Raw genomic sequence first — 25,123 nt, forward strand, 5'->3', positions numbered from 1 at the left:
GCTTGAACCCGGGAGGCGGAGATTGCAGTGAGCCAAGGTCATGCCATTGCACTCCAGCCTGGGCAACAGAGCAAGACTCTGTCTCAAAAAAAAAAAAAAAAAAAAAGACAAAACAGCCAGGCATGGTGGCTCATGCCTGTAATCCTAGCACTTTGAGAGGCCAAGGCGGGTGGATCACCTGAGGTCGGGAGTTCAAGACCAGCCTGACCAACATGGAGAAACCCTGTCTCTAGTAAAAATACAAAAAATTAGCCAGGCATGGTGGCGGATGCCTGTAATCCCATCTACTCAGGAGGCTGAGGCAGGAGAATCGCTTGAACCCAGAGGCAGAGGTTGTAGGGAGCTGAGATCGCACCACTGCACTCCAGCCTGGACAACAAGAGTGAAACTCCGTCTCAAAACAGAACAAAACAAAACAAAACAAAACAAATAATACATGATATGTCAGTGGTTAACAACATGTCTGGTATACAGCAGGTGCTCAATAAATGGGCATCATTATAGGAGAGGCTTACAGGATAAAATGGCTGACACTCCAAACCATCATGCTTCATGAATGGGGAAACTGAGGCTCTTGGCTCTACCCTTGCCTGCCCCTCCCCCTGCTTCTCATGGGGGAAAAAAAAAAGACAGCAGCCATTTCTGAAGAAGCATTTATTAGCATGCAGGGCCCATGCTAGAGGCTCCTTATTTCCAGGGCAAGGCCAGCGAGACAGAGCCCATTGCTCAGGACGCAGCCCAGATTGCAAAGAGAGGACAGCCCATGGTAGCGGAAGAAATTCTGGCGGAGAGCACTGTACTTGGGGTCCTTCTCTCGCAGCTGGCGGTAGGGATCGGGACCCTGGTGGCTGCCTGGTACCTCCCCACCCAGGCCTCGCTCCTTCTCCACGGTTTGCAGGGCCCACATGGCAGCTGTGGTGCGGGGTTCCAGCCAGCGGGCGTTGACAGTGGCCAGCGTAAGGCTCAGGAACAGCAGGTAAAGCTGGCAGGGAGAGCAGAGGAGAAGGTGAGCCATGCCTGGGAGGCCAGAGGGGCCCTAGGGAGGGTCTTTCTGCATCCTCAACAGCACAGGGGTGGGGGTGGGGACAGCACTGGATCAAAAAACCTGCCTCCCCCTCTTTCCTTGAACCCAGACTGAGGGACCCAAAGCAGAACTCCAGCTCTTCTACTCTGAAACTGGCAGCTCTGAAGGAAAGGCTCCATCCCCACCTCCTCTATCCCCCCGCAAAACCTCCCGAGCCTCTTCTCCTCTGATACTCAGACTGGAAGTCCCCAGAGCAGGATCTCTTTCCTCAGTGGCCACAGCCCAGACGCCTGAAGCTGACATTGGACCCACAGAGGGTGAATAAAAAGTCTTTGAGTGGCTGGGCGCAGTGGCTCATGCCTATAGTCCCAGCACTTTGGGAGGCTGAGGTGAGTGGATCACTTGAGGCCAGGAGTTCAAGGACAGCCTGGGCAACATGGGCAAAACCCCGTCTCTACTAAAAATACAAAAATTAGCCAGGTGTGGGGGCTGTCCCCCTGTAATCCCAGCTACTCAGGAGGCTGAGGCATGAGGATTGCTTGAACCCGGGAAGGAGAGGTTGCAGTGAGCCAAGATTGCACCACTGCACTGCAGCCTGGGCGACAGAGCAAGACCCTGTCTCAAAAACAAACAAAACAAAACAAAAAGTCTTTGAAGGCAGGCATGGTGGCTCATGCCTGTAATCTGTAATCCCGGTGCTTTCAGAGATGGGGGTGGGAGCATCACTTGAAGCCAGGAGTTCAAGACCAGCCTGAACAACACAGCAAAGACCCTCATCTTTTTTTTTTTTTTTTTTTTTGAGACTGAGTTTCACTCTTGTTGCCCAGGCTGGAGTGCAATGGCGTGACCTTGGCCCACTGCAATCTCCGCCTCCTGGGTTCAAGCAATTCTCCTGCCTCAGCCTCCCAAATAGCTGGGATTACAGGCGCACACCACCACACCCAGCTAATTTTTGTATTTTTAGTAGAGACGGGGTTTCACCATGTTAGCCAGGATGGTCTCGCGCTCCTGACCTCGTGATCCACCCACCTCAGCCTCCCAAAGTGCTGGGATTACAGGCATGAGCCACTGCGCCCAGCCTATTTTTTTTAATTAGGAAAAATGTTTTTGCCATTCTCACATTGCTATAACACCATCTCTATCTGTTTTAAGTATTTGAATACCTTCTGAGCCTGTTTCATTAAAATAAATAAATAAAAGGAAAAAAAAACAGTCTGTGAAGTTCTAGTTACCCATAATCCCCTCCTGTCTGTGAGATTATTCTTGAAACACCTGTCAGGTCTCACTTACCCACGTCTATGAAACATAATGCAGGCAAGGGAAGGCCAGAGTAAATAGAGAAATCTGAGATGCAGAGATAGTTTCTTGCCTTGTGGCCAGAAAAATGTGTGGAAGGGGATAGGAAACCATAAATTCCCAGTCGGGCTGGTTTTTAAACAATAAGCTGGGGTCAATGTGCCAGCTCAGCTGAGTCACCACAGCTTGGCAGCAGGCCCAGCCAGCGGGAGGAGAGGGAACAGCAGCTAGCAGGGAGATGCTGGGGGATAGACAGGGCTGCTGGGGACTGTTGTACAGGCTGTGCACTGCTCAAGGGTATCCAGAGCCCAGCTTTGTATCTACCAGGAAGAAGGGGCTCCCCTCCCCTCCCTTCCTCTTCCCTCCCCTCTCCTTTCCTCTCCTCTCCTTTCCTTTCCTTTTTTTTTTTTTTTTTGAGATGGAGTCTTGCTTTGTCGCCCTGGCTGGAGTGCAATGGCATGATCTCGGCTCACTGCAACCTCTGCCTCCTCGGTTCAAGCAATTCTCCTGCCTCAGCCTCCTGAGTAGCTGGAATTACAGGTGCACACCACCACGCCTGGCTAATTTTTTTGTATTTTTAGTAGAGACGGGGTTTCACCATGTTGGTCAGGCTGGTCTTGAACTCCTGACCTCGTGATCCGCCCACCTCGGCCTCCCAAAGTGTTGGGATTACAGGCGTGAGCCACCATGCCTAGCCTTTTTTTTTCCCCCCCTGGAAAAGGTGTAGCCATAGGCGCTGACTGAGGTCCTGGGAACAAGTCTCCAGAGGGCAGTGGCACTCAAACCCACGTACCTGGCTGGCCTCCCAGAATGTGAGCTGAGCCCAAGCATGCTGTGAAGCCAAGATGCAGAGGTTGATGAAGGCACAGCCCATGGAGATGTGGAAGTAGAAGGGGAAGAGTTTGCTCTGCACTAGTCCGAAGGTATGTCGGGGAAGGCTTCGGAAAAGCAGGAAGCCTGCAGGGTATGGGGACCACAGGGGTGTTAGGGCACTTCCCGGTTCCCCTCTTATTTCCATCCCCACCCCAGGTACCCATGACATCCAAGCTGAGGGTCCCTACCTGAGACGAAGGTCACCCACATTTGCATGCCCCAGGCACCTGACAAGACCAGTAGATGGACCATCTTAATCAGGCCTCCTAGGTTCCCGCCTTCCTCCATCTTGCAGTCCTGGGAAGGAGGCACCGGGTGGCTCAGAACTTTACCTTTGCCTCATGCGTGGCCTTCAGACCCTGTGAGCCCGCTCGGGGACAGGGTTACGGCCAATCCAGCAGAGATTCTGGCAAAGCATCCCGGGAATGAGAGTGAGAAAGGCCCAAAGCAGTCAAGGCCCAAAGACAACCCTCGACCCCATCTCTCCAAATGTCAGCCCTCAAGATCTCAGGCTCTCTGGACCTCAATCTCCATGCCACTTCAGAGGCCCCAAATTTCAGCCACAGCAGCTCCAGATCATAGCCCTAGGTCTTCAGAGATCACTCCACTAATTCCCAAATATCACCCCAGGGATCCAGTTCTGACAGCCAAGACCACTCCTCTCATAAAATAATACCGGATATTAGGTGAAGATCCCGAAAGCCCCGAGGAAACCCTAAATCTCATCCTGAGGACACCGATCCCACCAAAGCCCCGAGGAAACGCCAAATCTCATCCCGAGGACACCGATCCCACCGTTAGGAACCGGGACCTCAATCCGCAGCACCCGGATTCCGAGAACAGAGGCGTCGGGGCCAAATGGGCTGAATCTGGTACCTCACTCCCACGCCCCCGGGTGGACAGCGACCCTCCTCGGCCGCGTCCCCTCGTGGGTTTCCCCCAACCAATAATTCGTCCCGCCTCCCAGCTGAGCCCGAAGCCAATCGGGTCGTAGATCTGCACCTTTCTATCCCGCCCTCCTGGGTATTGACTAATCGTAGAAACCCCCCTGGGATCCCGCCCCCTCCACGGGCTTTTATCCAATTACGCCGCGGCTACTAAGCGCAGCTGAAGCGTGAAGGCGCCAATGAGGCCTTCGGCTACTCCGGCAGGGGCGGAACTAAAATGCCGGCCACACCCCTCTCTGTGACTCAGTCTCTGAGCGTTTTAATACGATGGTGTCCCCGCGGGATCAAACTTCAGCGTCACAGCTGAGGACTGGCTTCGTGGTCCCTGATGGGAGAGCATGAACAGGTGGTATGTGGTAGGTGGGGTTCTGGAGCCTGGCGGGTGTAGATTTCACAACCCAGGGGGCGGAGCCAGGATGATGACCCCGCCCCCTCCCTAAATAATTCTCCCGGGAGGGACACGGAAGCAGCAACCGGGATGGGACGGGGAGAGAGGAGGCACTACTGGGGACCTAAGCTGGTTCTCAAATGCCTCTCCTTTTCCCCTCCAAGCCTCCCAGGCTTCCTATGGTCCCTAAGTCCCGGGTTCTCAGCGTGACATTCCAGAGCAAACACAGCTCCCCATTACTCTATACCAGGCACTGGCATGGATTAATTTATCTAATCACAACATCCCAGTAAGGTGACTATTATGACATCTCGTTTTTATAGTTGGGGACACTGAGGCATGGAGAGGTTCAGTAACGCGACCAGTATTACACAGCTGGAAGGGACAGAGCTAGGATTTGAACCCAGGCCATCTAGCTGGAGAGTTTCCCTGCTTAACCGTCATACTCTGCTGTCCCTGGAAGTGAGGACCTCCCTGAGGCAGTGACTCTCGGAGGGGCAGCTTAGGACATTTCAGGCAGAAGAAAAACGTGTACATCACAGGGTGGGTGTGAAGATCCAGTGAATGCTTAGGGGATGCCCGGCACTCAATTAGGTGCTCAGAAAATAGGAGCCTAAAAAAGGATTAAGGAAGATTTTACTGAAGATATGCTGAATAGTTTTTGTTTGTCTGTTTGTGTTTGAGACGGAGTTTCGCTCTCGTTGCCCGGGCTGGAGCACAGTGGCATGATATCGGCTCACTGCAACCTCCGCCTCTGAGGTTCAAGCGACTCTCCTGCCTCACCCTTCCAAGTAGCTGAGATTACAGGCATGCGCCACCACGCCTGGCTAATTTTGTATTTTTAGTAGAGATGGGGTTTCTCCATGTTGGCCAGGCTGGTCTCGAACTCCTGACCTCAGGTGATCCACCTGCCTTGGCCTCCCAAAGTGCTAGGATTACAGGTGTTAGCCACCGTGCCCAGCCTGAGTAGTTCTGAAGAGCGTGTAGGAGTCTTCCAGGTCGACTGAATCAGGCAGAGGGCCTGGCAAGGGTGACAGAGAGAAAGGTCTAGAGGATTTGGGGGAAGAGGCTGAGTGTGACTCAGGGCAAGGTGCCTTTCACCTAGAAGTTTCTCCAGGCAGACCTGCCCCAGATATCTCCATCTGTGCCATATGTGGCTATACTGGAGGGGGAGGGGAGTTGAATGTGAGACCCAGAGCTCAGCTGTTTCCTGTTTCCAGCCTCTTCTAGCACGGGTCTGGGCCCCAATTCAGCTAACATTTATTGAACAGATATGCCCTGCCTCTCCTGCTCACACTCTATGGCTGGCATTCACCTGTGGGGCCAGGTCGAAACTCCTGGCTTGGCCGTCAATGCCTTACTGGAGCTGCTCTGCTAACCTCCTGCTGCTTCCTCTCGGACCTCGATTCAGCCATCATGAATTTACCAGCATAGAGCATGTGATTCCACACCTCCAAGCTTTTGCACATGCTGCTCCCTGCCAGGAAAGGCCTTCCTTTAAGCCAATGTCAAGGTCCCTTTTTTCTTTGGACTCTTCTGAGGCCTGATTTTTTTTCTTTGGGGCCTTCTGGGTCCTTCTCACTGCCCAGCCCAAACCTTGGGGCTGGGATAATCTTTTTTGTTGTTGTTTTTTATTTTTGGAGACTGAGTCTCACTCTGTTGCTGAGGCTGGAGTGCAGTGGTGCAATCTCGGCTCACTGCCACCTCCGCCTCCCGGGTTCAAGTGATTCTCCTGCCTCAGCCTCCCGAGTAGCTGGGATTACAGGCGCCCACCACCATGCCCAGCTAGTTTTTGTATTTTTAGTAGAGACGGGGTTTCACCATATTGGCCACGCTGGTCTCGAACTCCTGACCTCAAGTGATCCTCCCGCCTTGGCCTCCCAAAGTGCTAGGATTACAGGCGTGAGCCACCATTGCTGGCCGCGTCTGGCCTTGGGATCATCTTTTATCCAGCTTTGGCTCCTACCATAACTGAGAAGCCTTGAGTTTAGGGCTGAGGCCTCTCTGGCATGTCAGGGAGGGTCTGGGGGCACTGGGGACATGGGGACTTATCTCAAAGCAGCCCCTGCTTCCCTACTCACAGCGACCCTCTTTTGGCCGGCCTACCCCGGGACCCTGACTACTCTGTGTCCTGCCTCTACTCACCTCCCTCACCCTCCAGCATGTGTTTGCCTGCTAACATGAAGTGTGACAAGTACTGGGGTTAGTTAGGGGGCTCCCATAGGGCTGGGGACACTGGGAGGGGCTGGGAATGTGAGGAGTGCCCTGCACTGTCCCTCAAGGAAGCCCTCACCCCTAGGCTCTTCCTCGGACAAGGCTCTGGAGCGTACAGCTCACTGGTCCAGGACTCCAGAGCCAGAGACCTTGGGATGCCCTGCTTCTGGGGACACAGTGAGGACTGCAGACTGCAGGCCAGGGTGGGGCTCAGGGCCTTCGCCACATGAGGCTGCCCCCTCCCCCAGTCCAGACCTGCAGAAGCAGTGCTGTAATGACCAGGACATTTTGAAGAGGCATCACAACGTAGCTAAGGTCACCCCCACCCGGGAAACCCCTTCAATGCAGAAAACCACTGCAATCTACTGCTGTGGGGCTTAGGGAAGGGGCTGTAAGGCAGAGAGACTCCCATGAATGCACCCACTGTGTTTCTTCAGCACCTAGAACAGCACCTGGCACTCAGCAGGCCCTGGCTAAGCAAGTCTTAAATGAATGGATGAAGGAATGAATGGAAGGAAAGAGTGTGGTTGTGTGTCTTCCATGGGGATTTGGCTGTGATCGTCTCTCAGCCACATAAGTGCACTTCTGAGCATATGTAGCCCAAGGGGGAGGTGCATGAATATGCCTGGAGTGCAGCTTTGCCTGCACTTACGGTTTGGGACACCTAGAACTGAGGAGATCCAACTCTTGTCCAGCCCTCAAAACTGGGTTGAGGTGAGCAAGGAGGCAGCTCAGGGACAAATTTCTACTCCCATCTCATCTCTCTTCCTTAGAAGCCCTTGGAGACCAGCTCTTCCAAAGTCAAAGGTGAGAAATCTCCTTTCCAACAAAACTGTGTGGGGAAGACCTGCTGGTTTCTACCTCTACCCTCTGCCCCAGCATCAGCTGTCCCCCTGCCATGGTCACCCATTCACTCCTGCCCAAGGCTGAGTGGGCCCCTGTTCTATATCTTATCCCCTGTCCCTACTGCTACTCTGAGCCTTTGCTGACCTCTGCCCTGCCCTTGCCCCAGACCCCACCCCTTACAGCCCTGGCTCACCCTCTTCTCTGCCCACAGCCAAGACCATTGTGATGATTCCCGACTCCCAGAAGCTCCTGCGATGTGAACTTGAGTCACTCAAGAGCCAGTTACAGGCCCAGACCAAGGTGAACCACCTTGGCCCTGCCCCCAGCAACCTCTGTTTCTCCTTGCCCTCCCCTCCTTCCTCCCACCCCAAGGCTGACCTCTTTCCCCCAGGCTTTCGAGTTCCTGAACCACTCAGTGACCATGTTGGAGAAGGAGAGCTGCTTGCAGCAAATCAAGATTCAGCAGCTTGAAGGTGAGGACTGACCAGAGATCAAGGTCAGGCTAGGCCAGGCGTGGTGGCTCACGCCTGTAATCCCAGCATTTGGGGAGGCCAAAGAGGTTGGATCACTTGAGGTCAGGAGTTTGAGACCAGCCTGGACAACATGGTGAAACCCCATATCTACTTAAAAAAAAAAAAAAAAAAAGCCAGGTGCTGTCACTCATGGCTGTAATCCCAGCACTTTGGGAGGCTGAGGCAGGTGGATCACCTGAGGTCAGGAGTTCGAGACCAGCCTGGCCAATATGGTGAAACCCCATCTCTACTAACAATACAAAAATTAGCCAGGCGTGGTGGTATGCACCTGTAGTCCCAGCCACTCAGGAGGCTGAGAAAGGAGAATTGCTTTCTGGGAGGCAGAGGTTGCAGTGAGCCGAGATCACGCCACTGCACTCCAGCCTGGGCAACAAAGCAAGACTTCATCTCAAAAGAAAAAAAGTCAGGCTGGAAGCTGGTCCTGTTGGGATCAGCTGGGCCAGGCCAGGGTGAGGGAAATTGGGAGAGTCTGGGTTCTGGGTCAAGATTAGGACAAGCTGGGTTCAGGGTGGGATCAGGGCTCAGTCAAGGTCCCACACTCTCTGCAGAGGTGCTGAGCCCCACAGGCCGCCAGGGAGAGAAGGAGGAGCACAAGTGGGGCATGGAGCAGGGCCGGCAGGAGCTGTATGGGGCCCTGACCCAAGGCCTTCAGGGGCTGGAGAAGACCCTGCGTGACAGTGAGGAGATGCAGCGGGCCCGCACCACTCGCTGCCTGCAGCTGCTGGCCCAGGAGATCCGGGACAGGTCGGGGATGGCGGGAGGGCAGCTTGGAGTCCACAGGAGGGAAGGGAGACCCAGAACTGGGGAATGGAGGCAGGATGGGGGAAATGGCAGATGCCTGGGGGAGGGGGACTGAGGGATGGTGGAAAGCCTGAGGGACAAGAAGAGGGAATGAGGCCGGGTGTGGTGGCTCATGCCTGTAATCCCAGCACTTTGGGAAGCCGAGATGGGCGGATCACCTGAGGTCAGGAGTTCGAGACCAGCCTGGCCAACATGGTGAAACCCCATCTCTACTAAAAATACAAGAATTAGTCAGGCATGGCGGCGGGTGCCTGTAATCCCAGCTACTAGGGAAGCTGAAGCAGGAGAATCACTGGAACCCAGGAGGCAGAGGTTGCAGTGAGCTGAGATCGCACCACTGCACTCCAGCCTGGGCGCCTGGGCGCCTGGGCGGCAGAGCGAGACTCTGTCTAAAAAAAAAAAAATGAGGAGGGGATGAGAGGCTCAGGGGAGACAGGTGGCTGGTGGGGGCGGGGGAGTGGGAAACTGAGAGGCCAGAAGGCAGGGAAGACAGAAAGCTGGAGGTGGGATGGAAAAGGAGGCCAGGGGATCAGAAAGGGGGATGGCAGGGAAGACTGAGAGGACAGGAGACTGGGGGTATAGAAAGTCGGGGGACAGGAGGTGGGGAGGTGGAGGCCAGGTGATAGGAGGCTGAGTGGGGTGGGAGAGACTGAGAGAATGGGAGGCTGGGGATCAGAAGGAGAGGAGGGGGATGAGGGTAGGGGGATTGTAGAAGGGGAGGGGAAAAGGGCAGGGAAGTGTGGGGAGGGGACAGAGCTTGCGGGGATGGGTGGAGGCACAGATAGGGGCATGGGAGGTCAGGGGCCAGGCAGGGAGTGCAGGTCTAGGCTGCACTGTCCCCTCAGCAAGAAGTTCCTGTGGGAGGAGCTGGAACTGGTGCGGGAGGAGGTGACCTTCATCTATCAGAAGCTCCGTGAGTTCCTGGAGCCCACAGCCGGTGTGTGGGGAGGGGGTCCTTCTTCAGCCTTTGTCCGCCTGAGCCCCCTCCCTCCACAGAAGCGCAGGAGGATGAGATCTCAGAGAACTTGGTGAACATTCAGAAAATGCAGAAAACGCAGGTGAAATGCCGCAAAGTGAGTGGAGGAGATGGGGACCCTGGGGAGGAGTGGGAGAGGGAGGGATGGGGATTTTGGCCAGCCTCCACCATGAGATTGGAGCCTGGGTTCAAATCTCAGCTCTGCCACTCACTGCTGTGTGACTGTGGGCAAGTCACTTGACCTCTCTGAGCCTCAGTTTCCTCATCTGTATAATGGATGTAATAATAACTCATCTTGGCTGGGCGCGGTGGCTCACGCCTGTAATCCCAGCACTTTGGGAGGCTGAGGTGGGTGGATCAGAAGTTCGAGACCAGCCTGGCCAACATGATGAAACCCCGTCTATACTAAAAATACAAAAATTAGCTGGGTGTGGTGGCAGGCACCTGTAATCCCAGCTACTCAGGAGACTGAGGATGGAGAATGGCTTGAACCTAGGAGGCAGAGGTTACAGCGAGCCGAAATCGTGCCATTGCACTCCACCCTGGGCGACAAGAGCAAAACTCCCATCTTAAAAAAAAAAAAGAAAAAAGAAAAAGAAAAAGAAAACTCATCCTGTTGGGTGCTGTGGCATGCCTGTTATCTCAGCACTTTGGGAGGCTGAGGTGGTTGGATTGCTTGAGGCCAGAAGTTCAAGACCAGCCTAGGCAACATGGCAAAACCCTGTCTCTACAAAAAACAAAAAAAACAAGAGGGTGTGGTGGCACATGCCTGTAGACTTAGCTACTCAGAAGGCTGAGGTAGGGGGATCACTTGAGCCTTGGAGGTTCAGGGTGCGTTGAGCCCTGATAGTACCATTGCACTCTAGCCTGGGCGACAGACTGAGACCCTGTCTCAAAAAAGAAACAAACACCAAAAACAAAAACAAAAAACAAAACAAAAAAAAACACTCCTCCCTACCTGATCAGGTGTCTGTATTAGCTGAGTACTGTGCACTTGAATGCAGTCTGGCATATAACAAGTGCTATATAACAGTCACCTTTTACTATTATCATTATTATTATTTATTTTGTTTTCTTTTTTGAGACGGAGTTTCCCTCTTGTTGCCCAGGCTGGAGTGCAATGGCGCGATCTCAACTCACTGCAACCTCTGCCTCCTGGGTTCAAGCAATTCTCCTGCCTCAGCCTCTCGAGTAGCTGGGACAACAGGCGCCCGCCACCACGCCCGGCTAACTTTTTGTATTTTTAGTAGAGATGCGGTTTCACTGTGTTAGCCAGGATGGTCTCAATCTCCTGACCTCGTGATCTGCCCGCCTCGGCCTCCCAAAGTGCTGGGATTACAGGTGTGAGCCACCGCGCCTGGCACTATTGTCATTATTATTATGACTGCTGTTCTCTCATCCCTCCCCACCCCAGATCCTGACCAAGATGAAGCAGCAGGGTCATGAGACAGCCGCCTGTCCGGAGACTGAAGAGATACCGCAGGGAGCCAGTGGCTGCTGGAAGGATGACCTCCAGAAGGAACTGAGTGATATATGGTGATGCCCAGCCTGCAGTCTGACCCCTGACCCTCCTCTGAACCCGTTCCCCCAACGGGATCTGGCAGTGACCACCAGAACCTGGAGCCCACCTGAGTCCAGACTTCCCTCACCCCCTAGGACTCACCCCACCACGGCCCCCAACCTTAGCTGTACTGCTGTCTACACCCTGAGCAGTGTGGAGTCTCCCAGCGCCCCCAGCTCCTTGTCTTCTTGCAGGTCTGCTGTGCACGTGCTGCAGAACTCCATAGACAGCCTCACTTTGTGCTCGGGGGCCTGTCCCAAGGCCTCGAGCCTAAGAGGTGAGGGAGGCTGAGAATTGCTCAGGGGTGGGAGGTCATTGTCTAGCTTCACAGGGAGGCTATGTTCAGAGAGCCTATTTGGGAGTCACATCTGATGGGTGTTATTCTATGGTCACATTAAGTAGTGTTCTGGGGTCACATTAAGGAGTCACTGGAGGTTTCATCCAGGAGTCATTCATGGTCACATTCAGAGTCACTTGGATCTTATATGAGTCCATGGGGACTCCACACAGTGGCTCATGCCTGTAATCCTAATATTTTGGGAGGCTGAGGTGGGAGGATTACTTGAGTCTAGGAGTTTGAGACCAGCCTGGGCAACACAGTGAGACCCCATCTCTCCAAAAAATTTAAAAACTAGCTGGGTGATGGTGCACCTGTGGCTGAGCACACCTGTAGTCTCAGCTACTCAGGAGGCTGAGACAGGAGGATCGCTTGAGCCTGCGAGGTTGAGGCTGCAGTGAGCCATAATCGTGCCACTGCACTCCAGTCTGGGCAACAGAGCGAGACCCCATCTCTAAAAAAAAAAGTGTCAATTGGGTAAAATGCAAGGGTCATTGAAGTCATAATTTGGTGTCACACTGGATCACATTCAAGGGAATTGGGGGTCATGGTTTAAGTATCAATGAGGTATACTATGAAGGGACACAGGGCCTATATTTGGGGGTTACTTGAGGGTCACATTCAGGGAACCTGTCCCTCCTGCAGGCCACAAGGGGCACCAGTGCCTGAGCCCTCCACTCCCCTCCTGGGACTCTGACTCCGACTGTGACCAGGACCTCTCCCAGCCACCTTTCAGCAAGAGCGGCCGCTCCTTCCCACCCGGTGCAGATCCTCCCCAGTCCCCCCCTCCACCCATTTCCCTCCTGACCTGCCCTTGACTCCCACAGTCTAGACCCTCAGAACAGGCCCAGATCCTGATCTGGGCATGCGGTCCCTGACCTGCAGCCCCGGAGTCCCCTGGACCTGGCCAGGCCCTGACCCACCCTCTCTCTCCACAGCTTGAGCAGCCGGGACTGCTCTCCCTGAAGACCCCTCCAGAGAGAAAATAAACTAGCCCAGACCCTCCTCTAGCCCCGACTGTTAGTCTTGCTGCTTCCTGTGCCTAGGAATCCCCCTGCCCTCCTAGTTTACCCCTCATTGTTGGGGGGGAGGGGTGTAGAGACCCCAGGGGTCATTCGGGATGTGTGGGCTTGGAATCAGGGGACATCTGAAGCCAGATTTAATATATGACAAGGCAAGGAGTCATTCTGTCCAGACACGAGCAGCCAGACAGACTTCCACACTGGCCACAGAGCCTTCCTTTCTGGGGGGCCCTGGCGAATGGGGAAACTGAGGCCCAGAGAGGGAGAGGCGCGGCCCAGGGACATACTCTGAAGCCCCTCCCTCCTATTACCCTCGGAGCCCCGCCCACCCCAGGGTCCTCCCTCTCTACTTCCATTCTTGGTTCCTTCCTACAATCGATGCTAACACGCCCCGCCTCCAAGATCACGGAGGCCCCGCCCCACGGGGCTATGCAAATGAGACGCCCGGAGGCCCCGCCCCTCCCTCCACCTCGGAGTCTGCGCGGCGCGGCCAGGCCCGGCCGACCGCGTCTCGGTCTTCGCGTCTGCCAGCCTGGCTGGCAGTCCGTCTGTCCATCCCGCCGCGCCGGGGCAGTCTAGGCGGAGCGGGGGCTCAGGCGGCGGCGGCCTCGACGCGGTGAGAGGAGGGGGTGGGGGCGCCCCTCATCCCCTCCCGTGGGCTTCCCACCCCCGGTGTCGGTCTCCGGTTCCTGAGGGTTGGGTCCCTCTGGGTCCAGCGCGGGGAGGGGCGGGGGAGGGGAGGCGGCGAGCTGGGGGAGGGGACCGGGCTGGGGGAGGGGACCCCGGGCCGAGGAGCCAGCACCGGTGGTGAGGGCGGCTGTGGGTAACTGTGATTGTGTGGTTGTCATTGTGTGTCTGTGTGTGGTTGTGTAACTGTCATCGTGTGGCTGCATGACTGGGATTGTGTGGTTTCGGGAGGTCCGCGGGTGTGTGTGTGTGTGTGTCACTGTCATTGTGCGGCTGTCGTTGTGGGTGTCACTCTGATGGTTTGTGTGTGTGTGTCTGGCTATGCTGTGACTGCCATTGGCCCCCCGTGTGGCTGCTGTCTCTGTGTGTGACTGTCTTGGTGTTCGTGTGGTTGTGTGCATAGGACTGTCATTGTGTGGCTCCTGTTGTGTGTTCATTCTGATGGTGTGTATGTGTGTGTGGCTGTGGTCGTGCGCTGTGCACCTTTCTTGTGTGGCATTGTGAGTCTGTGTCATGGTCCATGGATGTGGCCATGTGGTTGTAGATGGCACCTTGTCTCTCCCCTGTGACTGTTGGTGTGAATAAGAGACTGTTAGTGTGTGTGTGGCTGTCGCTGAGTGCCTTGTAATTGGGGGTGTGACGCTGTGATGAGTTCTGTGACCCCCATTGTGTGCGGTGACTCTTTTCTGTGACTCTTAAGTGTGTTGCAGGCCTGACTGTGTGTCCCTGACTGTAGCGGTGTGGGGGCTTGTGTGGGACTGTGATGTGTGTAGGGTCTCCTGACATGTCTCTCTCTGTTTGGCCTGGGGTGGGGGTGGGGACTTGTTTGATCTGTTTGGTGTCTCTGACAGGCTATGAGCCCACTGTGTGTGAGTATGCAGTGACATGTGTTGTGTGTGTTGGACACCTGTCTGAACAAGGGGGCCCCTCTTGTTTACTGCAAAGTGGCGCCCAGCACAGCGCCTGGAAGTCGGCAGGTGCTCGGTCTTCACTGTGGGATGGGTGAACGCTATGCCATGGTTGTGTGTGTGTGTGTGTGTGTGTGTGTGTGGTGCCAGGATGGAGGCTGCGGCTGGGTTGTGCTTCCTAAGGGTGACAGCATGGGTGACTCTGGGTATCTAGGACCTCTGGCAACCATCACCCCATATCACACTGCAGAGTGAGTGTCGTGGTTGGGGTGCTGGACCCAGAGTGCCTACCCTCGCCTGCCTGGGCCTCAGTTTCCACATCTGCACAATGGGGGTGACCATCCCTGCCCTGCTGGCTGCCAGGAGCGGCTGTGAGTCTTCAGGCGTGGATGCAGCCTGGGGGAAGCCATAGGGCGCTTTCACAGGTGAGATGGGGCTGGGAGAATGGATGCAAGCAGGTGTGACTGTGTTGAGCCCTAAAGCGCTGGGGACTGGGGGTAGCCTTGGGGGAGGGAAGAGGAGAACTGGGAGGCAGACCGGCTGGGAAGAGGGGGAAGGAGGGAGAGGCAGTTGGCAGAGAAGGAGGGCTTGGCTATCAGCCCAACCAGACACCAACACCACAGCCCATGGGGACAGAGAGAGGGGCCCCTGCAGAGGCCATGGAGGAAGCGACTCAGGGGAAGGGTCTGGTAGGGATGGGGGCCCCTTGGGAAAGAGGATGGTGTCCCCTAAAAACTAGTGGGGACCCTTCTAAGTGCCATGGGGGAGGGGTTCCCATGAGGCTGGGGAGTCTCTTCTAAAGGCCCACCTCCTAAAGGGCATTGGGTCAGAGCCTCCCATGTAGGCTGTAAAGGAAGGGACCCCCGTAGACTCTTGGGGAGTGGTGTCAGAGGAGGCAGGTGTCCCCAGTAGGGTCAGGACCAACAGGGCAGGACCTGGATTGCAGAGGCATGGCCAGAAGGTTCAAGGGACAGAGTCAGGGCCTCCCCGGGTCTTCAGGGCCAGGGGTGTGGCCAAAGGACTCAGGGGATGAAGCCAGGGTCCCGGTGACCTGAGCCTTCCCCTAGGCACACCCCCTGGGACTCCCACTCCCTCCCCACCTCTGCAGGCCTGGCCTTCACCATGGCGGGAGGGAGACCGCATCTGAAGAGGAGTTTCTCCATCATCCCCTGCTTTGTCTTCGTGGAGGTGAGGACCCCCGTACCTCTCCCAGAGACGGCGTGCCTATCTCTGTCTCTGTCCAACCTCAGTCTCCTTATCTGTACCCACTTTTCCATCTCTGGGATCTCCCTTGCTGTCCCCTTTCTCTTGAGAAATGGTTATGAGCTTAGATTCAGAAGTGCCACTCCCCGGGGTCCAATCCCTCTCTGCCCCATCCACACTGCAGGGTGCTGGACACCACAGGTACCCTCCTGAGCCACAGTTTCCTCATTCATAAAATGGACATCACCAGAGTCCCAACTCATAGGGCTGTTCTCTGTGTGTGTGTGTGTGTGTGTGTGTGTGTGTGTACGTGTGTTTGAGATAGGGTCTCACTCTGTCACCCAGGCTGGAGTGCAGTGGCATAATCTCGGTTTACTGCCACCTCCACCTCCTGGGCTCAAGCAATTCTCCTACCTCAGCGTCCCGAGTAGCTGAGACTACAGGTGTGTGCCATCATGCCCAGCTAATTTTTGTACTTTTTGGTAGAGGTGGGATTTCAACATGTTGGCCAGGATGGTCTGGAACTCCTGACCTCAAGCAATCCTCCTGCCTCAGCCTCCCAAAGTGCTGGGATTACAGGCGTGAGCCACCACGCCCGGCCTCCTAGGGCTGTTCTAAAGGTAAAATATATTAATTCATGGACAAAGCTTGGTACGACCCCCTGCCCACAGTGAGGGTTACACCTGTGGTAGCTGCTAGCACCCCTACTTCTCTGATTTCTTTCCATGTGGGAGAGTCTCTCCACCTCCCCCTGTCTGTCTGTCTCTCATTTGAGCCTTGGCCCTAATCTCACTCTCCCCATGCCCATCTCTTCTCTCCCTCTCTCTACAACTCCCTTCCCTTTTCCTTTCCCTTCTCTTTCCTCTTGCTTTCTCCTCTTCTCCCCTCCTTTCCTGGCTTTCCTCTCTCTCTGTTTTTTTTTTTTCACTTCTTCCTTTTCTTTCTTTCCCTCCCTCCCTCTCTCTCTTTCTTTCTTTTGTGATGGAGTCTTGCTCCGCTGCCCAGGCTGGAGTGCAGTGGCACGATCTTGGCTCACTGCAAACTCCGCCTCCCGGGTTCAAGTGATTCTCCTGCCTCAGCCTCCCGAGTAGTTGGGAGTACAGGCGTCTGCCACCATACCCAGCTAATTTTTGTATTTTTAGTAGAGACAGGGTTTTGTCATGTTGTCCAGGCTGGTCTCAAACTCCTGATCTCAGGTAATCCACCTGCCTCAGCCTCCCAAAGTGCTGGGATTACAAGCATGAGCCACGTTTTAATTTTTTTTCTTTCTTTTTGTCTTTCAGCCATTCCTTTTCCTTTCTTTTTTTTCTGAGACAGGGTCTCCCTCTGTCACCCAGGCTGGAGTGCAGTGGTGCCATCATGGCTCACTGCAGCCTTAATCCTCTGGGTGAAGCAATCTTCCTTCCTCAGCCTCCCAAGTAGCTGGGACTATAGTTGTACAGAGATAAGGTCATGCGATCTCAAACTCCTGAGCTCAAGGGATCCTCTTGCCTATGCCTCCCAAAGTGCTGGAATTACAGGCACGAGCCGCTGCACACGGCCCCTCTGTTTCTGTCTCCTTCTCCTTCTGTTTCTCCTAAGCCCTGACCCTTCTCTCACCTCCTTTCCCCATTTCTCTCAGTCTCTCTCCCCCTTGTCTCTGTCTCTCTCCATCTTCTAGTTTCTGTCTCTAACCCATGTTTCTCCATCTCTGTATCTCTGCCTCTGTGGCCTCAGCTGGAGTCCTGACCTCTCTCTTCTCTCTCCGCCACCTCTCCCCGCCCTGGCTTGGTGGCAGTCGGTGCTGCTGGGCATTGTGATCCTGCTTGCTTACCGCCTGGAGTTCACGGACACCTTCCCTGTGCACACCCAGGGATTCTTCTGCTATGACAGTACCTACGCCAAGCCCTACCCAGGGCCTGAGGCTGCCAGCCGAGTGCCTCCTGCTCTTGTCTACGCACTGGTCACTGCCGGGCCCACCCTCACGGTGAGACAATGAAGACCTCCTAGGAGGCAGGTGGGCCGGTAAGGGTGGGTGAGGGGATGGGCTGGAAGGCCAGAAGACTCCATCTTGGTCTTGCCCACAGATCCTGCTGGGAGAGCTGGCGCGTGCCTTTTTCCCTGCACCACCTTCAGCCGTCCCAGTCATCGGGGAGAGCACCATCGTGTCTGGGGCCTGCTGCCGCTTCAGCCCCCCAGTGCGGAGGCTGGTCCGCTTCCTGGGTGAGAGACATGGCCTGGGGTCAGCCCCATGGTAATGGTGGGGAGGTGGGTATAGAAGAAAAGAGTCATGGGCCTGACAGTCATAATAATTCCAGGCTGGGTGTGGTGGCTCACGCCTGTAATCTCAGCACTGTGGGAGGCCAAGTGGGCGATCACCTGAGGTCAGGAGTTCAGGACCAGCCTGGCCAACATGGCGAAACCCTGTCTGTACTAAAAACAAAAAATTAGCTGGGCGTGTGGCAGGTGCCTGTAATCCTTGAACCCGGGAGGCAGAGGTTGCAGTGAGCCAAGATTGTGCCAGCCTGGGCAACAAGAGCAAAACTCCGTCTCAAAAAAAAAAAAAAAAAGAAGAATTCCAGGGAAAAGCTGGGCATGGTGGTACATGCCTGTAGCCCCAGCTACTTGGGAGGCTGAGGCAGAGACTCAGCTACTTGGGATTACTAGCTACTTGGGAGACTGAACAAGATCCCACCTCTTTAAAAAAAAGGGAATTCCAGGGGGGAAGGAAGAGGACCTGGAATTGCCATGATGGGGATGTTAGGAAGCAACAAGGGACTTAGGCTCAGACCAGATGTAATGGAGGTTCTAGGGACATGGGTGGGGCCTAACCCAACCATGATGGCAACTGTCGGAAGAGGGTCCCAGAATGCCATAAGGAGAGTCTCAGGCACAAAAGAGAGACACAGGCACAGGACAAACACCCTGGGGCCCCTGGGTGAGACTCTGGCTGTGCTTTAAATGGGGTCCCAGCCTCAAGTAGTGGCTGTGGGAAAGGGGGAGGGGCAGACCTTACCTATAATGATGGTCCCAGGGCAGAGGGCGGGAGACCCAGCTCTAACTTATTAGTGGCCCCAGGAGGAGAGTGTTGAACTCAGTAGTAGCCAGTTTAGGGGCAGGCAGGAAGAGCCCCAGGTATGCCATTAGGGTTTTCCCTAGCCGTCCTAGGCATGGGGTGGATCCTGATGTAATGGTGTTGGGGCGGGGGTCCAAGCCCAGCTATAATGGGGCTCCAAGGGAGGATCCGCCCCTGACATAGTGGTAATCCTAGAAAGACAGGGGCCAGATAATGAGGGTCCCTGGGGGCAGGAGGCCTCAGAGTACCTTCATGGTGGTCTTAAAGGAAGGGGGATGTTGGCACAACTACAGGGTCCCAAGTGTGCTTTAATGACAGTCACAGGAAAAGGGAGCTAAGAGGCCCAATGGAATCAGTGGGAGCATCAGGGCCTGGCGCATGAACCCCTTCCACTATCCCACCCCTAGGGGTCTACTCCTTCGGCCTCTTCACCACGACCATCTTCGCCAACGCGGGGCAGGTGGTGACCGGCAATCCCACGCCACACTTCCTGTCCGTGTGCCGCCCCAACTACACGGCCCTGGGCTGCCTGCCACCTTCTCCGGATCGGCCAGGTCCCGACCGCTTTGTCACTGACCAGGGTGCCTGCGCTGGCAGTCCCAGCCTCGTGGCCGCCGCGCGCCGCGCCTTCCCCTGCAAGGATGCGGCCCTCTGCGCCTACGCGGTCACCTACACAGCGGTGAGCTTCGGGAGCTTCGGGGTCGGAAATGGGTGTGCAGGCTGGACAGCGACCAGCAGCTAGGAAGCCGCCAGGGTTGGAGCCTCTGCTCTTCCACGCCCCGGGTGCTGTTGGAAGCTCTCGCTCCACGCCCCGACCTGTTGGAAGCTCTCCCTCCTCCTCCCAGATCCTAGCCACGCCCCCAGTCAGAGGCTATCGCTGTCCATTGACTCCGCCCCTTGCCCTCTGGCCACGCCTCCTGAGCCAGTAATGCGAGGGAAACTGTTGGCTCTACCCTATGGCATCAGGACAGTCCCTGATGTGCAAGACTCGGAACCCCTATAGCCTAGCCAGGCCCCCAGGATGCTACAGGCGCTAGATATTAGCTGGCAGACTGGGCAGATGGGACGGCCCCCTGGAGTCCTTGCCCCTCTTCTGGAGCCCTTGCCCCTCTCCTGGGGGCCTTGTTCCCTCCTGTTGTAGCCCTGGCCACGCCCCTTGCTCTTAACTGCTCTGGGATTTCTAACTCTGTCCCCTGCTTTTTCCTGGTCACATCCCCTGTTGCTTCAACTCTTTTTTCTGGCATCCGGGTTTATGCTCCCACCCTGTCAGTGGTCCCCTAGGGGTCAGGGGCTCCACCTCCTACAGCTCCTACAGCTCCTACAGCTCCCTTCGCCCTGACTCCACCCTCTGGTTCTGTGGCCACGCCCTAATCCAGTAAGTGTCTGTCCCCATCTGCGACTCCGGACCAGGGACACCTGGGCCCCAGACCTTGTCCTCTGCTCTTGGGAGCTCTGGCCACACCTAGCCCTGCAGGTGGTGCCCACGAGACTCCAAGACCTCAATCCCTGACCCCCCCCCCTTTGCCTTTTTGGTCACGCTCCCTGGAAAAGCCCACTGGGAGCCCATGACTCCAACCCTGGAGCCCCTGGCCACTCCCTCCAGCCCCAACGCTCTGGCCATGCGCTCTAGCCCAGAAAGGAGCGTCCACTTGGGTTCGGCGACTTGCCTCCGCTATCCCCCTGACCAGTCCGGCTCCCCGCAGATGTACGTGACTCTCGTGTTCCGCGTGAAGGGCTCCCGCCTGGTCAAACCCTCGCTCTGCCTGGCCTTGCTGTGCCCGGCCTTCCTGGTGGGCGTGGTCCGCGTGGCCGAGTACCGAAACCACTGGTCGGACGTGCTGGCTGGCTTCCTGACAGGGGCGGCCATCGCCACCTTTTTGGTGAGTTGCCTCCTCAACCTTCCCAGCATGGAAGACCCTCACCAGCTCTCTGACCCAAGAGGCAGGACCACATGATGGAGAAGGGTGTGGACTCTGTGTGACCTTGGGCCAATCCCTTAACATTACCCTTCCTGGATATTCTCATCTGTGAAATGAGATACCAGGATCAGGGTGAGGCAAGGCCTTGAATGCAAATTTTAAGAGGGTGCCCAACACTCAGTAATCAAGATTAATATTTTAACAAAACATTTTTAAAAATCAAAGTTAATACAAAACTATCATAATGTACAGAATATAAAAATTCTAAATAAAGATGAATCAAGGCTGGGTGCGGTGGCTCACGCCTGTAATCCCAGCACTTTGGGAAGCTGAGGCAGGCGGATCACTTGAGGCCAAGAGTTCGAGACCAGCCTGGTCAACATGGCCAAACCCTGTCCCTGCTAAAAATACAAAAATTAGCCAGGCATAGTAGTCCCAGCTACTTGGGAGGCTGAGGCAGAAGAATCGCTTGAACCCGGGGGACGGAGGTTGCAGTGAACTGAGATCGTGCCACCTCACTCCAGCCTGGGTGAAAGAGCGAAAGTCTGTCTCAAAAAAAAAAAAAAAAAAAATTAGCTGGGAATGGTGGTGCACACCTGTGGTCCCAGCTACTCAGGAGGCTGAGGCAAGAGAGTTGCTTGAATCCAGGAGGTGGAGTTTGCAGTGAGCTGAGATTGCACCACTGCACTCCAGCCTGGGTGACAGAGTGAGACTGTCTCAAAAAAATAAAAAATTAAAAAAATTAAATCCTGCCACTGTACAACTTGGTCTTACTTACTTTAGCCTAGTGTGGGGTCTGTGGGATAAATAATAATTGCACCTACCTCAGTAAAATGGAACCAACAGTGCCTGGCACATACTATGCATTAGCTGTTTTTGAAAACCGGAGCCTCACTTTCCTTATCTGAAAAATGGGGATGGTATTTACATGGCTCCTATGTGACTTGCCCCAGGCCTCAACACTCTCCTCTCCCTCTATTCCAGGTCACCTGCGTTGTGCATAACTTTCAGAGCCGGCCACCCTCTGGCCGAAGGCTCTCTCCCTGGGAGGACCTGGGCCAAGCCCCCACCATGGATAGCCCCCTCGAAAAGTTAAGTGTGGCGCAGGTAAGGGGGGCCGGGGGCTGCTCCCGGCTGGAGAGGGTGGTGGGTGGAGGGGGCCAAGGAGACAGGAAGGAAGTCAGGCAAGAGGTGGGGGTCTCAGAACCATGGGGAAGTGGAGGGATCACCCATCTCTGTGGACATAGGTCCTGGGCGGACAGCCCCAAAGAATGAAAGGGAGCACCCCCGTCTTCTTCCCAGGGGGACACGGTTAATCATGAGAACTGTGGTTGTCTTTTCCATGGGGCTCTTCACCTGATGAGCTCCTTGTGGCTGTGGCCGGTAGGGCCCAGGGGGCCACTAGCCCCTTCCGTCTGTCTCTTTGTCTCAGGAACCCGAGGTCTGCAGGCCGCATTCGACACCGGCACGGCTCACCCCATCCAGTGAGTGTTGGGGGAGTGGGGGGCTAAACAGGGGGACTTCCAGGTGGGCAGCCACTGCCCCAGAGGTCTCACCTAGGCCTTTATGCTGCCTCCCGAGTTTTCTGATCCCCTGATATCTGGCTTCTGACCACCAGAGTCGCAGAACTGCGCCCGCCGTGGCCACCTGATCCCCAGCTGTGTCTCCTCCAGGGCCCCAGCCATGTGTTCGTCGCCCCGTGTGCCCCGTCCTCGATTGAGGTCTGAGCCGACGCCCTTGCCCCTGCCCCTACCCCTGCCAGCGCCCACCCCCAGCCAGGGCCCCTCGCCTTCCTCCCCTGGACCTGGGGGGCCAGGCGGGGGTGGTGGACGTGGCCGGAAGCTGCTGCTGCCCACGCCCCTGCTGCGGGACCTGTACACCCTGAGTGGACTCTATCCCTCCCCCTTCCACCGGGACAACTTCAGCCCTTACCTGTTTGCCAGCCGTGACCACCTGCTGTGAGGCCCGACCACCCACCCAGAATCTGCCCAGTCCCCACTTCTTCCCTGCCACGCGTGTGTGTGCGTGTGCCACGTGAGTGCCAAAGTCCCCTGCCCCCCAAGCCAGCCAGACCCAGACATTAGAAGATGGCTAGAAGGACATTTAGGAGACATCTGCCTCTCTGGCCCTCTGAGATATCCCGATGGGCACAAATGGAAGGTGCGCACTTGCCCCTACTATTGCCCTTTTAAGGGCCAAAGCTTGACCCCATTGGCCATTGCCTGGCTAATGAGAACCCCTGGTTCTCAGAATTTTAACCAAAAGGAGTTGGCTCCAACCAATGGGAGCCTTCCCCTCACTTCTTAGAATCCTCCTGCAAGAGGGCAACTCCAGCCAGTGTTCAGCGACTGAACAGCCAATAGGAGCCCTTGGTTTCCAGAATTTCTAGAGTGGGTGGGCATGATTCCAGTCAATGGGGGACCGCCCGTGTCTAAGCATGTGCAAAGGAGAGGAGGGAGATGAGGTCATTGTTTGTCATTGAGTCTTCTCTCAGAATCAGCGAGCCCAGCTGTAGGGTGGGGGGCAGGCTCCCCCATGGCAGGGTCCTTGGGGTACCCCTTTTCCTCTCAGCCCCTCCCTGTGTGCGGCCTCTCCACCTCTCACCCACTCTCTCCTAATCCCCTACTTAAGTAGGGCTTGCCCCACTTCAGAGGTTTTGGGGTTCAGGGTGCTGTGTCTCCCCTTGCCTGTGCCCAGGTCATCCCAAACCCTTCTGTTATTTATTAGGGCTGTGGGAAGGGTTTTTCTTCTTTTTCTTGGAACCTGCCCCTGTTCTTCACACTGCCCCCCATGCCTCAGCCTCATACAGATGTGCCATCATGGGGGGCATGGGTGGAGCAGAGGGGCTCCCTCACCCCGGGCAGGCAAAGGCAGTGGGTAGAGGAGGCACTGCCCCCCTTTCCTGCCCCCTCCTCATCTTTAATAAAGACCTGGCTTCTCATCTTTAATAAAGACCTGTTTGTAACAGAAGTTTGGCCATCTGCCTTCCTCCCCCGGGTGGTGGGGGGGTGCGGAGGACATTCATCGTGGGTCTAGATGTCTGTGGAGCTGGGTGTGGGTGTGTTGCCGCAGTGTATCTAAGGACAATTGTGGAAAGGCAGCCCGGTTTCATGGAGCTTCAGACTTGGGCTGAAATCCTGGCTCAGCATTCTGGGCTCTGTGGCCTCAGAAAAGTTCATTCACCTCTCTGTGCCCTTGTTTCTTCATCTATCAAAGGCAAACAGTCACTCAAGCTACCAAGGCACACAAACCCACATCAGGAGCCGTACATGCCCTGTGTGTCTCAGGCCAGGGCACAGAGGGCACAAGGAATGGGGTGAGGATACTTGGGGGTCCTGAGAGGGATGGGGGATGCTGAGGGGCACTAAGAACCTCCAAGTGGAACACCTGGCTGTGTGGATGAGAACAGGGGTGCTGAGTATGAGATTACACCAAGACCCAACCCCCCTGAGAACTCAGCAGATACTGGGGATGTTCAAAGGGTCAGGGAGAGGGAGCCACAGGACCCCTCCCTCAATTGTGGCTCTGAGGGCTTTCAGACAGGGCATTTGGGACCCAGAGTCACTCAGGAACCAGGAAAAGGGAGTCTGTTTCCCTTCTCTCCTTAATTAATTCACTCATTCATTAAGCAAACACTGTAGAACCCCTACTGTGTGCTAGATGGTCTTAGTCTGTTCCAGCTGCCGTGACAAAATACCATGGACAGGATGGCTTATTTATTAAATTATTAAAAAATAAATTTCTCTACTACTATTAAATTCCTCTACTAATTATTAAAAAATAAATTTCTTGGCTGGGCATCGTGGCTCACGCCTGTAATCCCAGCACTTTGGGAGGCCGACAAGGGTGGATCACGAGGTCAGGAGATTGAGACCATCCTGGCTCACAGGGTGAAACCTCGTCTCTACTAAAAATACAAAAAATTAGCTGGGTGTGGTGGCGGGCGCCTGTAGTCCCAGCTACTCAGGAGACTGAGGCAGGGGAATGGTATGAACCCGGGAGGTGGAGCTTGCAGTGAGCCGAGATCGTGCCACTGCACTCCAGCCTGGGGGACATAGCAAGACTCTGTCTCAAAAAAAAAATAATAATAATAATAACAATAAATTTCTGATTTATTTATTTATTTATTTTGAGACGGAGTCTCGCTCTGTTACCTGGGCTGGAGTGCAGTGGTGCGACCTCGGCTCACCGCAACCTCCACCTTCCAGGTTCAAGCGATTCTCCTGCCTCACTCAGCCTCCTGAGTAGCTGGGACTACAGGTGCGCACCACCACGCCCAGCTAATTTTTTGTATTTTTAGTAGAGACGGGGTTTCACCGTGTTAGCCAGGATGGTCTCGATCTCCTGACCTTGTGATCTGCCTGCCTCAGCCTCCCAAAGTGCTGGGATTACAGGCATGAGCCACTGCGCCTGCCTTATTTTTATTGTGTGTGTGTGTCTTTTTTTGTTAAGATGGAGTTTTGCTCTGTCGCCAGGCTGGAGTGCAATGGCACGATCTCGGCTCACTGCAACCTCTGCCTCCTGGGTTCAAGC

General features: G+C 55.3%; 3 protein-coding genes across 32 annotated transcripts, besides 4 other annotated features; 2 read left to right on the forward strand and 1 right to left on the reverse strand.

Annotated features, from left to right (window-relative positions):
* Positions 1–639: 639 nt before the first annotated feature.
* On the reverse strand, positions 640–4,354 carry TMEM205 (transmembrane protein 205). 9 transcript variants are annotated; one of them, XM_024451501.2, is made up of 4 exons: positions 4,196–4,354; positions 3,382–3,490; positions 3,114–3,277; positions 640–982 (listed from the first exon to the last, which is right to left on the reverse strand). In XM_024451501.2, exons 2-4 carry the CDS (start codon positions 3,479–3,481, stop codon positions 677–679), a joined length of 570 nt encoding a protein of 189 aa, XP_024307269.1. In that variant the 5' UTR covers positions 3,482–3,490; positions 4,196–4,354; the 3' UTR covers positions 640–676. The 9 variants fall into 9 exon arrangements, with proteins under 9 accessions (XP_024307269.1, XP_024307268.1, NP_001308042.1 ...); XM_024451500.2 differs by having other exon boundaries at positions 3,382–3,599; NM_001321113.2 differs by lacking the exon at positions 4,196–4,354 and adding an exon at positions 4,070–4,130.
* Positions 3,651–4,481: an enhancer, noted in NCBI's record as "H3K27ac-H3K4me1 hESC enhancer chr19:11456465-11457295 (GRCh37/hg19 assembly coordinates)". NCBI's record gives its function as "activates a minimal SCP1, AML or CMV promoter by ChIP-STARR-seq in naive H9 embryonic stem cells {active_cell/tissue: H9 hESC(naive)}" and the evidence as "EXISTENCE:reporter gene assay evidence [ECO:0000049][PMID:30033119]".
* CCDC159 (coiled-coil domain containing 159) lies at positions 4,381–12,806 on the forward strand. Of its 15 annotated transcripts, none has more exons than XM_047438148.1 (13): positions 4,381–4,496; positions 4,693–4,822; positions 6,612–6,730; positions 6,828–6,945; positions 7,516–7,549; positions 7,800–7,888; positions 7,980–8,061; positions 8,670–8,865; positions 9,768–9,835; positions 9,919–9,995; positions 11,313–11,434; positions 11,654–11,736; positions 12,442–12,806. In XM_047438148.1, the coding sequence occupies exons 4-13, from the start codon at positions 6,898–6,900 to the stop codon at positions 12,612–12,614; spliced, it is 972 nt and encodes a 323-aa protein (XP_047294104.1). In that variant the 5' UTR covers positions 4,381–4,496; positions 4,693–4,822; positions 6,612–6,730; positions 6,828–6,897; the 3' UTR covers positions 12,615–12,806. The 15 variants fall into 15 exon arrangements, with proteins under 15 accessions (XP_047294104.1, XP_047294103.1, XP_047294102.1 ...); XM_047438147.1 differs by having other exon boundaries at positions 4,381–4,489; XM_047438146.1 differs by lacking the exons at positions 4,693–4,822; positions 6,612–6,730 and having other exon boundaries at positions 12,442–12,558; positions 12,735–12,806.
* Positions 8,332–8,832: an enhancer, noted in NCBI's record as "H3K4me1 hESC enhancer chr19:11461146-11461646 (GRCh37/hg19 assembly coordinates)". NCBI's record gives its function as "activates a minimal SCP1, AML or CMV promoter by ChIP-STARR-seq in naive H9 embryonic stem cells {active_cell/tissue: H9 hESC(naive)}" and the evidence as "EXISTENCE:reporter gene assay evidence [ECO:0000049][PMID:30033119]".
* Positions 13,114–13,563: a silencer, noted in NCBI's record as "silent region_10108". NCBI's record gives its function as "represses an Ori minimal core promoter by ATAC-STARR-seq in GM12878 lymphoblastoid cells {active_cell/tissue: GM12878}" and the evidence as "EXISTENCE:reporter gene assay evidence [ECO:0000049][PMID:35858748]".
* On the forward strand, positions 13,294–23,560 carry PLPPR2 (phospholipid phosphatase related 2). Of its 8 annotated transcripts, none has more exons than NM_001393893.1 (10): positions 13,294–13,434; positions 14,664–14,838; positions 15,481–15,601; positions 17,394–17,582; positions 17,683–17,818; positions 19,079–19,350; positions 20,375–20,551; positions 21,575–21,697; positions 22,023–22,074; positions 22,209–23,560. In NM_001393893.1, the coding sequence occupies exons 3-10, from the start codon at positions 15,536–15,538 to the stop codon at positions 22,550–22,552; spliced, it is 1,359 nt and encodes a 452-aa protein (NP_001380822.1). In that variant the 5' UTR covers positions 13,294–13,434; positions 14,664–14,838; positions 15,481–15,535; the 3' UTR covers positions 22,553–23,560. The 8 variants fall into 8 exon arrangements, with proteins under 8 accessions (NP_001380822.1, NP_001380823.1, XP_016882637.1 ...); NM_001393894.1 differs by having other exon boundaries at positions 21,575–21,681; XM_017027148.2 differs by having other exon boundaries at positions 17,469–17,582.
* Positions 14,206–15,147: an enhancer, noted in NCBI's record as "H3K4me1 hESC enhancer chr19:11467020-11467961 (GRCh37/hg19 assembly coordinates)". NCBI's record gives its function as "activates a minimal SCP1, AML or CMV promoter by ChIP-STARR-seq in naive H9 embryonic stem cells {active_cell/tissue: H9 hESC(naive)}" and the evidence as "EXISTENCE:reporter gene assay evidence [ECO:0000049][PMID:30033119]".
* Positions 23,561–25,123: the final 1,563 nt, after the last annotated feature.

This window comes from Homo sapiens, chromosome 19, assembly GCF_000001405.40.
Source record: "Homo sapiens chromosome 19, GRCh38.p14 Primary Assembly".
NCBI lineage: Eukaryota > Metazoa > Chordata > Mammalia > Primates > Hominidae > Homo > Homo sapiens.

Coding starts and splice junctions, on each gene's coding strand:
- TMEM205 (XM_024451501.2), bottom strand. CDS start 3,481: ATGGAGGAAGGCGGGAACCTAGGAGGCCTGATTAAGATGGTCCATCTA. Junction 3,278..3,381: donor GTGGGTGACCTTCGTCTCAG/GTAGGGACCCTC, acceptor CATACCCTGCAG/GCTTCCTGCTTTTCCGAAGC. Junction 983..3,113: donor CATTCTGGGAGGCCAGCCAG/GTACGTGGGTTT, acceptor TCTCCCTGCCAG/CTTTACCTGCTGTTCCTGAG.
- CCDC159 (XM_017026255.2), top strand. Junction 8,062..8,669: donor CAAGATTCAGCAGCTTGAAG/GTGAGGACTGAC, acceptor CACTCTCTGCAG/AGGTGCTGAGCCCCACAGGC. Junction 9,836..9,918: donor CTTCATCTATCAGAAGCTCC/GTGAGTTCCTGG, acceptor CTCCCTCCACAG/AAGCGCAGGAGGATGAGATC.
- PLPPR2 (NM_001393893.1), top strand. CDS start 15,536: ATGGCGGGAGGGAGACCGCATCTGAAGAGGAGTTTCTCCATCATCCCC. Junction 15,602..17,393: donor CCTGCTTTGTCTTCGTGGAG/GTGAGGACCCCC, acceptor GCTTGGTGGCAG/TCGGTGCTGCTGGGCATTGT. Junction 17,819..19,078: donor GAGGCTGGTCCGCTTCCTGG/GTGAGAGACATG, acceptor TCCCACCCCTAG/GGGTCTACTCCTTCGGCCTC.